Raw genomic sequence first — 11,934 nt, 5'->3', positions numbered from 1 at the left:
AACTGAGAATCAGGAGAGGTGGGTTGTAGATCCACACTGCTGCCCGTGACTGGTCCTATGGATGCCGTGGCCCTGAATTTGCTCCTCTGTAAAAGGCAGGGGGTGGACCTGGCTAAAGGGTGGCTGACCTCCCTTGCAGCTCATTGGTGCCTGCATAGCTGGCCGCAGCTACCCACCTGGATGGGGAATCTGCTCACAGGAAGGGAAGGAAAGGAAATGCTCTGTTCAGACAGTGAGCAAACGAGGGCCATCTCAGAGAGCTGATCCACAGGCTGTGTTTGGTGGCCGTGCCCTTGCTGGTGACACCCCTGACCAGGGAGGGAGGAGATGCAGGGCCTGGGGAGGGCATGGCTCTCCAGCTCTAGCTGGGTAGGTGGAGGCCGTGAGCCCGGGAAGACAGTTGTGCTCCTAGGCTGACATTACATCAATGGGATGTCTTGCCTACGGAGCTAAAACAAGAAGAGCTGCAGAGAGGTCTACAGAGACACGTGGAGGAAGCACCAAGTAACCAGGCCTCAGCCTCCCAATCATTGTATTATGGGAAGTCAGGGCTGCCAGCTATGATAAAGAAGGAACACACCCCACAGCTTCTTTGCCAAGACCATACATAAGCAAAAAGCAATTTTCAGAACTTTCCAGCCATCCCCACTCTCCTTCCTACTTCCAGGAAAACAAGAGCCCTGAAGCAGATGCAGAAGCTCCACTGGTGCTATGGGACACCCCTCCTGTTCCCACATCCCACACCCACCTCAGTCCCCTGACCCCAGATTGTCATCTCCCCAGTCCCAGCAGTGGAACCCCCCAAATTCTCCACAGACCCATCTGGGTACACAGAGCAAAAAGCATTGATGTGGTGAGGCCTCTCTGCAGAATCCCAGAGTTCAGAGGTACCCAAGGGGTCCTCTGGGCCAACACCCTTCCCCCAGGCAAGTCCGCACCTAAATCATCCAGGACTCGTGGAGGCCTCTCCTGTTCTCCTGGGGTGTGTAGTGGTGGCCGAGAAAAGGCCTACCCTGCATGTGGGAGCCTCGTAGCTTCTGGGGGGCTCTCTTCTATTTTTCTGGGATGCTCTTGCTTATAGGGAACCCCAAGACTACCAAAAGCTGTTCCACCCACCTCCCCACCCTCCCTCTGACTCAGGGCTGCTGACAGCCGGGTGAACTCTGAGTCACACCCCCTCCTTGTTCTCCCCTCAGACCACCCTCATCATGTGCAACCTAGTACAGAAGAATGCTGGGGAGGGGAGAAGAGCAAGTGGAGCCTAAGGACTTGACCCTGAGCAGCTGAAGGTTGGGAAATTAGGATCACAAGTCCTCAGTGCCCTCTCCCCTCAGGCATCTAGCATGCAGTTTCGCTCTGATGCAACTCTCTGCCAGGCGGGTTCTGTGACCCAGCATCCCGGAGGCTTGGGTACCTTCTGGGGCAGGAAGAGAAAGTATCTTCTTCTCTCCACACTGTAGCCACATTCCATCAATACGGACTGATGGGCTTCTGTCCCCTCACCCTGGAGGGCTCCTCTCAATGGTCCATCCAACCTCAGCCACAGGCTTGGAGCCATCATCATACCCTAGCAGCCTGAGCGCAGCCCCCTCTTGGAGAAGGGCTCCCCTTTTCTCTCCAGATCTGGGGAGATCTGTAAGCAGAGCTTGGCACAGGCTCATTGGTCTCCCTTCCTCACACCTCCCTGCCCGGGTGTGTGCCTGCACGTGTGTGCACATGCGTGTGGATGTGCCCCAGTTGCTGAAGTTGACTAAGAGTCTGAGCATTGCATAAGCCAGGGCCCAAGTCCAGGCAAGGGCCAGCCTTTCCTCCGCTCTCCACCCAGGCTGGGACGAACCTCTCCTCCAGCGCCAGGACCCACAGCTCTGTGGGAGAGCCTGCACGCGGCCCTGGGCTCCTGCTCCACAGTGCTTGTGTGAGCACACACTCACACATTCCCTGAGAAAGCCCCCGGGGCCTCTGTGGGAAGGCTTTCCGGGAGACTTTTATGGCCAAAGAGGAAGGAAGTCCATCGTTGGAACAGCCAGGGCCAGGCAGCGGGCAAACGCCGGCCAGGAGCAGAGTCAGGCTGCAGCCTTCCCACTGTGAATTCTTTAAGCCTTTTCCTAGTCTCAGGCTACTCAGCGAGGCAGCGCCAGGCTGAAAAGCAACATCCCGTAGGGTCCCCCTGCCACCCCTCAAGCCCCCCACCCCCCTGAGCGTGCACACCCATGCACACCCCACTCACCCTGCTGCTCACACTGGCTCCCCCAGCTCTGATCACAGTAGGCTCCTGCCCAAAGAAACACAAACCTTGAGGCTTGCAATAAATCATCTTCATTATTTTACTGAAGAGGCCACAGAGACCCACAGATCTGGTGACTTGCCCAAGGTCACCCAGGTTCAAGTCCAGAACCCAGTCGTCTGTGGCCTCTCTCGGGTGCTGTACAGGAGGCTGGGCACAGCAGAGACCCTGGATCTACACAGTGGCACTTGAGGAAGGGACAGAGCCTGAACAAGGGTGGGGGCACCCCCAGGGACTTCCCAGGAATCCAGCACTTATTATCACCCACAGCTCTGATGTCCACTATGGTAGTCACTAAGTGCATGTGGCTATTTCAATTTAAATTAATTCAAATTAAATAATTTCACTTGTGGTAGCCCATAATAAGTACAAAATTAATAAATAATTCCAGGTATGGTAGCTCATGCCTATAATCCCAGCACTTTGGGAGGCCAGGGCAGGAGGATCACCTAGGAGTTAAAGACCAGCCTGGGCAATGTGCTGAGACCCCCGTCTCTAAAAAAATTTTAAAATTATAAAAATTAGCTGGGTGTGGTGGTACATGCCCATAGTCCCAGCTGCTTGGGAGGCTGACATGGGAAGATCACTTGAGCCGTAATTACGCCACTGCACTCTAGCCTGGGTGACAGAACGAGAGTCAAATAATTCTTTTTACAACTCCATTCCTCCGAACTTTGATGACCACAGGCAGCTGGCAGCTACTCTATAGTACAACACAAAGAGAGGACAACTCCACCATCACAGAATGTCGCACTGGACAGCACCGATCTGGAGGGAGGCAGATTGGGGATCGAATGGTCAGAAGAAATCTGTTCTCTGATGGAAGGCTGAGGTCCTCTGTGAAGGAAAGAGGGAAGAGAGGAGGGAGGAGAGGAGGAGAGAGAGGAGGGAGAAGAGGAGGAGAGGGCGGAACAAAGGAGGGGAGGGGGAGAGGCGGGAGAGAGGAGAGAGGACAGGGAGGAAGAGGCTGGAATCGGAGAGAAGGGGAAGGCAGTGAAGGGAAGGAGAGAGGACACAGCTCTGGCTTTCTTCTCTGGCTGAGATCTGACCAAACGCGAGGAGACTAACACTCTCCCCACCGCACCCTCCATCCTAGTCCAGAAGGACCAGAGCCCAGAATCACAGACACCGCAACCAGCCAGGGGCCAAAGAGACAACACCTGGTGGCTTTCCAGACCCAAAGTGCCCAATCTGCTTCCAAATTGATCAGCCCTTGTACCCAGAGCTCTCTCTAACCCCAGAGGGGCCTCCACACCTCAGCACCTGGATTCACAGAGAGACATTCCTTGCTCTGTTCCACTGGGCCTGGGGCAGATCTAACAGGGAGGACCCTGTGGTCCTTTTCACATGTACTTCAGCAAAAATGTCTCTTGCAGGGGAAAAAAAAAGGAAGGAAGTTGAATATAGTAATATGAAAAGGCTTCTCCTGCCACGAGATGGGTGCATTTTTCAGACCAGGGGACAATGCTTTGGTTCAATTCCACAGACACATGAGCAGTCCATTTGTCACTTTCTCCCATATTTTTCTAAGCAAACATTGGAGCAGCATCATTGACCTTGGCAAAGAGCTTCGCCTATGAAGTCAGAAATACTTGAGTTAAATTCCAGTTCTGCCGCCTAATGACTTAGACAAGGCGCTGCCTCCCTGAGCCTCAGTTTCCTGCCTCGCGGGCTGTTGTGGCAGAGGGAGAGCTCATGGGTAAGGCAGGCTCTCGGGATGTGAGTTCCTCCCCTTGTTCCCCAAATACATCCTGTGTGTCTTCCTCCTGTGTTACGGGCAGGAGATGGAGAACAGGAACGGGATCCTCTCACCTTGCTCTCAGGCAGAGGAGAGGCAGAAGGACAAATGGCTGTAGTCCCAGGCAGAGTGGTGGCCACAACACAGTAGGGTGAGGGGAGGGAATGCTGGGAGAAGGAAGGCTTCACAGAGGAAAGAAGTGTGAACTGGATTGGAAAGATAAAGAGAATCAGAGTAGTACACTTGAGACTGAGATCATCCATGAGCCAAGCTCACAAGGAACTTCATCAACTCTTCTCAGTTGAGCTAGACAGGGGCTCTGGAGGTCTCAGCCTGGGATCCGTGAAACTTTTAGCCATGGGGCCCCAGCCTCTGCCCCTGCCCTGAATCACCAGGGCTACCCCACATCCCTGCAGGGCTCACTCCCCCAATCCTCTGCGGGACCCAAGGCTGGGGACATGGTGACTCATCACACCACTCTCAGTGACACCTCCCCACCACAGTGCACAGGGTCCCCTAAGTCGAGAGGGCACTGGAGAATGTGGCCTGTCCCTGTCTCAAAAGCTTTCTGCCCCCAGGCCCGGGCATAACCCAGGAGAGAGCTGGGAAGATCTAGACGGGCTTTTCCATCCAACTTGAGCAAGTCCGAAGTCTCCAGAGAAATTCCAGCAAAGGGAAAAAAATATTCCCTTCCCTTCAGAATCAATTTTCTGAACACAGCCCCTCTTTGTTCTGAGGTGTAGACAAAAGAACATTAGACTATGAATCAGGAGACTTAGATCACGGGCCAGGACACCCGCATTCCATTTGCTGATCTGCTGCCGATTGGAACTCCCATCTCCGGCAAGTCATTAACCTCTCCAGAGCTTGTGTCCCCATCTGCAAACGCTACCCTCTCTGCCTCCTGGTGAAGGAGGATTAAGTGATACAGCAGTGCACAAGGGCCTGAAACCCCTAGAGTGGAGAGTGCTGGATACGGGTCCAGGACTGCTGTCACTGTCTAACAACCATGGCCCAACCCCCAAGTGACTCACCTGGCCTGTTTGCTCCCCACTCTCCCCATCCAAGGATGTAGGAGCTGTGCCTCTCTAAATGTTCCTCTTCTTCTGTCGTGCCCCCGTAGGAGGCTAAGCGTGACCTGAGACAGTGCATCGTCTGTTCTGCATTGTAAGAAGGCGATGTCTGCAAGAAGAGAGGACATGAAAAGGGGAGCTTGGTTAGGGGCACGAGGAACCTGCATGCGTGGGCTCCTCTGCCCTCCACTGACCCCAATTTTCGGCAGATGGCCTGGAGGCAGGGCTGGGCCCGCATCTGGCTGGGAACCGAGGCAGCAGGCTGACTCATACATGAGTCTTTTTCCACCGGCAGACCCTGTCATGGTGGCCTGTGGCTCCTGTCCAGGCTCTGACCGGAAGACCACAGTTAGGCAGTTCTAGAACTCAGGAGAAAACAGGTGAGTCTATCTCTGCATCCTCAAGGGAATTAGGGAGTCTGATTCTGCTCATCCCACCTCCCTCAGGTGCTACCAGTCACCAAGACTCCCTGGGCATCCCCCAGGGGCTTGTCTATGGCAAGAAGATTGCATGTTAATTTCCACTACACACTTTATCCCAAGTGATTTTATGTTCCCCTGACCAATGTCTACAATCAAATTGGGAGAGGGAGGCAGAATTCAAAGAACAACTTGAGTCTCTCAGGGAGCTGATCCTGGGAACACAGGGCAAGTATCTCTTTAAAAATACTCCCTGCACAGCAGGTCACACTGGCCTGCAGCCACAACCCCCAGGCTGTGATCTCACCAAGCTCCGAGAAGCCAAACAGGGTCAGGCTTGGCTGGTCCCCGAGTGAGCAGGGAGACCTCACAAGCAAAACACAGGTGTTACTGGTGATTCAGCGGGCCAGCCCCACCCTCCACGGAGTCTAGTTCTGCTCAGGTGTTGGAATTGCAACTGGGATGATTCAGGGAGCTCCTATCAGTACCTGGGCAGAGGAAAGGGGCGTGGTGCTGCCGGCAGGTGCTGAATGCTCTTTCTGGCCTCCATGTGTGACAAGTGTTGACACTCTTAAGAATCAGGGTGGATGCACTTCCTCCCTCCCTGTCCCCTGCCCATTTCCTAAGGCTGGTTGTTGTCAGCCATTGACCTAAATTCCTCACTTTGTCTCAACCAGATAAGGGATGGAGGAGGAAAAGGCAGCTCCGGAGGGGCTTCAGGCTCAGGAACCATTTAGCCCCCACTCCAAACAGCTGTGGTCTGGGGCTGCCATCAGGCTCCTGGCTCAGCCCCCAGGATGGTCCCTTCTGGTTTGGGAACAAGTAAGGATGAAACGGGTCCATAAAATGAGGGCCGAGGGCCGTCATTAGCCTGTTTTATGAGTACACAGATATTCATTACACCTCAACCCCGTCATTAGAGGCTCCAGCAAGAGCTCAGGCCCCTTCTTTATTACAGTAGAAACTGAGGGGGTTTCTCCCCCAAAGGGAGCTCTGCTTCTGCTTCTGGGAAGGAGGTCCTGCCCAGGAGGTCAGTAGCCTCCACTCTCAGGCAGGCCTCACTCTCACTGCCCTTGCTCACTCCCCAGCCCCAGCAGCTGGGCAGCCCAAGGGGAGGTCAGGTAGCCCAAGGAAGCACTGATAAGGGCCTGGGGCTTCTTGGGGACAGGAGGCTGGCATAAGAGGCCTGGGCACTGGAGTCTGGCATAAGAGAGCATTGGCTCCCCAGCACACAGCCCTTCACCGCCTGCCCCAACCAAGCACCAGTAGCTGGCAGAGAGTCTATGCAGCCTCCTCCAGAAAGCCCTCCCTGTTCCCCCAAGGCTCTCTGCGCTTCCTCTTCCTAGCGTTCATCACAGCTGTAATGATCTCTTGACTCTTGTGTCCTGCCAGACTGCAAGCCGCCCCATACAGGGACACCGCACTTGGCACCTAGCAGGAGCTCCATAGAGGTGGGCTGAGTTGACATCAGCCAGGATCTAGGGTAGGATGTATGAACCGGGGTGGAAAAAGGGGACTCTCTCGTAGCCTCAACTCCTCTCTCTCTCTGCCTTTTTCCACAAGGCGATGATCAGGTGGCCTGGCTGCTTTCTCAAGGCCACAGTTGGCGAGTGACTGAAAAATAAATCCTCTGCCACTGTCTAGGCAGCACCCCCTTACCTCCTAAATTTAATCCCTTCACATGAATCCCACTGAGCAGCTAGACAGCACTCCCCTTGTCATCATCCCCCTTCTGTCCCCAGAGGGGTGACCACATCACTATAGGAAACACCCAGTGACAAAGTCCAGCAGGGGCAAGCCCACACTTCCAGGGCCAGTCCCAAGAGCCTCTCATGCTTGACAGGACCACAGGCCGATGGGGGCAGAGGAGGGGAGGGGTCTCACCCTCTTTCCCATTAGGGCTGGCAGCGCCACTGGTAATAGGTTGGAGCCCACCCCGCTGGTGCAGGCCATCGAGGCTGAATGGAGCGTAGCCAGACCCCACAGCAAGGACCAGGGGCGCAAGAGCTGGCAGATTAATCAGCTGTCGTTTGCATTCATTAAAGGCCCCTTGCTTGTGTGCACAGCAGCCTCAGATGCCAGGGCAATTAACTGCTCACAGCAAAAAGTTCTAGGGAGAAGTTTCTCTTAGCTTCCCATGGCACAGCCTAGGGGTGGGCCTGGTGTCCTAGAATCCCAGACTCCTCAGAGGAAGGCCTCTGAAGGCCTAGCTTCGAGGGTGAGGCCCTGCCCTGGACCTAGAGCACGGTGGGCTTTGATTGGAAGGAGGCAGGGGAGCCCCAGATAGGGAGGCCTGGGGAGCCAGCAGCTGTCCCTTGATCCTCTTTGGGTCCCTCCCTCTGCTGTGACCCTGTCCCCTTTCCTCCCATCTCCTCGTGTCCCTGCGCACTGTCACCAGGAACAGCTGGGCCCTTGTCATGGTTGTGCAAAGACTCATTTCAACATACTCTGAAACAGGCGATGTTCCCCATGGGGACTGGAAGCCAAGCAGTATGGGCTGCCCCCAACCCCGCTCTCCTGCCTGCCGGGGGGACGGTGGCGCTGGCTTCCAAGACAGTCAGGGTTCCTCCTCTGCACACAAACCTTCCCACCACCTGTGGGGCTCAGCTGAGCGGCCCTTAACAGACAGCCACCCACTGATGGGGTGGCACAGTGACCCAGGTTCCGCTGGGTCACTTGCCTGAGAGAGCAGTGGGCCTCCCTTCCTCTCCCTGGGGCTCTGTCAGTACCCAAAGCATTCCCGGGACATGGGACCAACTGTGAGCTCCAGGTGGAGTTCACTGAGCACAGGCTCAGGGTTTTTTTGCTATGATTGTCAAACTTCCCGGATTGGCATTTGCCTGCTGAGCACTGTAAAAAGTGCCACAACAGAATGAGAACAAGCCCTGGGCCTGGCAGACAGTGGCAGGGCCTTGGACCCCAGCAGGCCCTGGTGGGCCACATTCACTCTTCCGTTGGCTCAGACAAATGAATCTGGGTTGACGAAGGCAGGCAGGGACACGAAGGCCCACCACACAGGCCTTGGCATGACCAAGGCACGTGAGAACGGCAGCTCAGCAGAGATGGCAGCTGGCTTGGGCACCTCGGAGGAGGGAGACCCGAGGAAGTTGCCTGACTGCTGGCCTCCTGCTTGGGACAGGGCCCTAGAGTTGATCCTGACCTGCACACCGGGGCTGCCCCGCACCCTCATCTGGTCTATAGGCAACACGGAAGAACCACTCTTCTCTCGCCTCTTCCATCCCATCTGTCTCTTCCCAGTCCCTGAGGTCCCTGCATGCCTGGAGGACAAGCAACCCTCCCTCCTCACGTAGGGTAGGTGGGGGGAGCATGATCTGGGGGAAAGGAGCTAACAAACACCCTTGTGTGCCCAGCCCTTTCCCTTCTCCCCAGGAACTTCAAGGCTCAGAATAGCACACCCAGAGTCACTAACTTGGGGCCACTTTCCATGGCTCTAAGCAGGGGTGAAGGGAAAGGGCTGTGCCTCCCTCCTTCTCAGGTCTGGCCCAGCCCCTCTGAACACCCAGGAACCCAACCTGTCTGAAGGGTCTGACTTGAGAGCTGGGGCCACAGGGGGAAGGGTGAGCCCCAGGGGAGGGGGTCTCCAGAAGGAACAGGAAAGGAGGTACCATCAGGAACCGGGGCTCAGATGGTTCCCACCACAGCTGCCACTACAGATCTGATGAGTGGTCCCCTTCCCTGGCCCAGAGACCCCAGGGGAATTGGGCAGGAAGGTTCGGAGAGCAGGAAGCTGCTGTGGTGGTGCTGAGGGGCTTCACAGACTTTAGTGTGCGTAGAAGTCGCCTCAGGTTCTTGTTAAGAGGAAGCTTCTGGTTCACTGGGTCTAGGGTTGAGCCTGAGAGAGATTCTGCATTTCTGATAAGCTCCCAGGGCACACTGCTGCTGCTCTGAGGGGCTGGGGGACTGGGTCCAAGTTCACCATCAGTCCCTCGGAAAAGAGCAAGCCGTGATTTGAATAGACTTAGAATGTTTCTGCTTCTTGTCACACTTTCTAATGAGCACAGGGTTTCTTAGAGCTTCCAAATCTCGCCAGCATCTTTTCTTGCTAGAAATTCCTGACCTTTCTTCCAGAGTCCCTCTGTCTCTTTTTCCTTCCATCCATCCTTCCTTCCTTTCTTCCTTTCTGTTCACAAAGCAGCCCCAGGCCTGGGCCCATTGGTGGGGAGGGAGAGAAGAGGCTCCAAAGGGTAGATTATGCTTTCTCTTCCCACCAGAGCCAAGTATGGAAACCTAAAATAGGGCAAAGGAGGGAGACAAAGCAGAGAACAGAACGAGGAATCTGACTCCCACCTGCTGCTACCAGCCTTCCCCAAAGAGCCACAGTCGAGGCTCTTGGCTGTTGGGCACCCCCTCCCCCTCCATCCCCCCAGCCCAGCCTTTGTGGCCTGGGTTCCCAAGGACACCTCATCTCATAGGTGGCACATGAGGAGAGCAGAGTAAGCCAAGACAGTACCCATCTTCTCGTTGGCAGTAGAGAACAGGATGGGTCAGGGTCAGGGGCTGAGGGGCCATTCTTACCCAGACAGAGGGGAGACGGGAGGACTGCTAGGGCCGGAGCTCGGGGAGACTGCTGAGCCACTCTCCAGAACTGTGGGGAGGGGGGCATCAGTCAGCAGTCACAGCCACTCGGGATTCCAGGACATGGGGTTCCAGCTCACTCATAAGCCCTGGGGCACCACTCCCCAAGCCAGATGGATGCTAGGGGGCTGCTGGGCTGCCTCTGTCCAGCCGGAGTTAGAGAGCAAAGGTCTGGTCAGGTCACTTCCTCCCAGTGTATTGGTCCCCTCGCTTCCTCCTCCTCTCCCTCTTGGAGGTGCAGCCACCCAGCCGGAAAGACTGGGTGCCGGATGAGAGATGGGGAGCGATAAGAGTCGGGCTGAGGAGTTAGCCCTACAGCTCTCTTCTCTCCAGTTGAGTTGCAGTTTCTCAAGCCCTGTTTGTCTTAGGGATTAACTGCATCCATTTCCTAATTGTTCTGCTGCGGCAGGGAGGGCAAGGTGACCTGCAGCCTCCTACATGCAGCACGGGAGGAGGGCAGCACCTGGGGTGCCCCCCACCCCATCCCACCCTGCCTCTTGGTCGACTGCCTCCTCTCCCACCTCTGCTCGGATACAGCCCAGCCCCATTGGCTCTCAGCCCCCTGGGTGGGTAACAGAGCAGCTTAGGTCTCACTCACAGACCTCAGTGCTAATCAGTTGTCTGTTTGTCCTGGCCCCCTGCCAGGGGCCTGGAGATTCCCACACCCTCTTTTCCTAATTGCATGGTCCCAGCTTCAGCCTGGCCACCAACCCCTTCCCAAATGCCCCCTTCTTCTGGTCCTCCCCACCATGCCCAGCCCCAGGCATACCCAGTGAAAGGCAGTCTAGGAGAGGAGTGCGTGAGTACATGTGAGTGTGTGTGAGCATGTGTGTGCATGTGAGTGTCTGTGCATGTGGATATATGAGCATGTATGTGAGCTTGTGCCTCTGTGCATGTGTGACAGCATGTGTGTGAGTGAGCATGTGTGAACATGCATGTGTGGGTGTGTGAGCATACTACAAGTATGTGAGTGTGTGAACGTATGTATATGTGAGAGTGTGGATGTGAGCATGTGCCTTGTGAGTATATCACGAGTGTGCAAGTGTGTGTGTGTGACTTGTGCTCTCCCATCCCTGGCCCTCTCGGACCCAGCCTGAGGTTGCCCCTAGGCCCCCTTGGCCTCATTCTGGTCCCAGCTCCAGCTTCTCCCATCTCACACCCTGCCACTCCCATTCCCACCAGTTCTGGAAAATTCTTCCCACTGCTGCGCTTCCCTTGCTCCCATCACCGAGCAGTTTCTGGCCAAGTTTCCACTTGATGGCAGAGCCAGAGGCATCCTACTTGCTCTCCAACCCAGGATCCTCTGTCTGACCCCCAAGGCCAGACCCCCGCTCCAGAGCCCCCACCTCCTGGACAACACCTCTGACTCGCTCTCCTGAGCCGAGCCCGCCTGTGTCTGTCTGTGGGATCATGTGTCTTCAAGGGATGGAGGGAAAGAGGAAGGAGTGAGCAGCGAGAGAAGGAAGGAGGCCAGGCTCAGATGGTGTCATTAGGAGCTATTAATGCCCCTCATCAAGGGTTATTAATAAACATGATGTGCCACTCGCTCTGCGCACCCTGGCTGAGTATAGGCCCAGCGGGGCAGGCCCAACATTCACAGCTGAGTAACCTCCAAGCCCACGGCGCAGCCATCAGCCTCAGGAGGCTGGCCCTGCCAGGAGACTTCGCAGGATGGGCTCCCGGGGCTCCAAGGGTGGACGGAGGCAGCATCCCCATCCTCAGCCCCTACGCCGTCTACTCCCCGGCAACCACCGAGCCTTTCCCTCCAGGGTCCCGCCGGGAGCTCAGCCTAGTAATGACCCTTACACTTGGACGGCGCTGCGG

General features: G+C 55.9%; 1 protein-coding gene and 1 long non-coding RNA gene across 4 annotated transcripts in view, besides 3 other annotated features; one reads left to right on the top strand and one right to left on the bottom strand.

Annotated features, from left to right (window-relative positions):
- Positions 1–11,934, top strand: part of PEBP4 (phosphatidylethanolamine binding protein 4) — a 227,827-nt gene that overhangs the window by 191,280 nt on the left and 24,613 nt on the right. The window lies entirely within an intron of this gene.
- On the bottom strand, positions 20–10,431 carry LOC124901908 (uncharacterized). Of its 2 annotated transcripts, none has more exons than XR_007060855.1 (3): positions 10,051–10,431; positions 5,057–5,204; positions 20–2,272 (listed from the first exon to the last, which is right to left on the bottom strand). It is a non-coding gene; the product is annotated as an uncharacterized LOC124901908 (long non-coding RNA). The 2 variants fall into 2 exon arrangements; XR_007060856.1 differs by lacking the exon at positions 20–2,272 and adding an exon at positions 3,238–4,228.
- Positions 4,605–5,804: an enhancer, noted in NCBI's record as "MED14-independent group 3 enhancer chr8:22601507-22602706 (GRCh37/hg19 assembly coordinates)". NCBI's record gives its function as "activates an origin of replication core promoter dependent on BRD2, BRD4, P300/CBP and CDK7 cofactors, and independent of MED14, by STARR-seq in HCT116 cells {active_cell/tissue: HCT116}" and the evidence as "EXISTENCE:reporter gene assay evidence [ECO:0000049][PMID:35650434]".
- Positions 4,759–5,566: an enhancer, noted in NCBI's record as "H3K4me1 hESC enhancer chr8:22601745-22602552 (GRCh37/hg19 assembly coordinates)". NCBI's record gives its function as "activates a minimal SCP1, AML or CMV promoter by ChIP-STARR-seq in naive H9 embryonic stem cells {active_cell/tissue: H9 hESC(naive)}" and the evidence as "EXISTENCE:reporter gene assay evidence [ECO:0000049][PMID:30033119]".
- Positions 5,855–5,914: a silencer, noted in NCBI's record as "silent region_19013". NCBI's record gives its function as "represses an Ori minimal core promoter by ATAC-STARR-seq in GM12878 lymphoblastoid cells {active_cell/tissue: GM12878}" and the evidence as "EXISTENCE:reporter gene assay evidence [ECO:0000049][PMID:35858748]".

The sequence above is a fragment of the Homo sapiens genome, chromosome 8 (assembly GCF_000001405.40).
Source record: "Homo sapiens chromosome 8, GRCh38.p14 Primary Assembly".
Lineage (NCBI taxonomy): Eukaryota > Metazoa > Chordata > Mammalia > Primates > Hominidae > Homo > Homo sapiens.
Note: the sequence above shows the minus strand (reverse complement) of the source record. Positions and strands in the feature narration are given on the sequence as shown.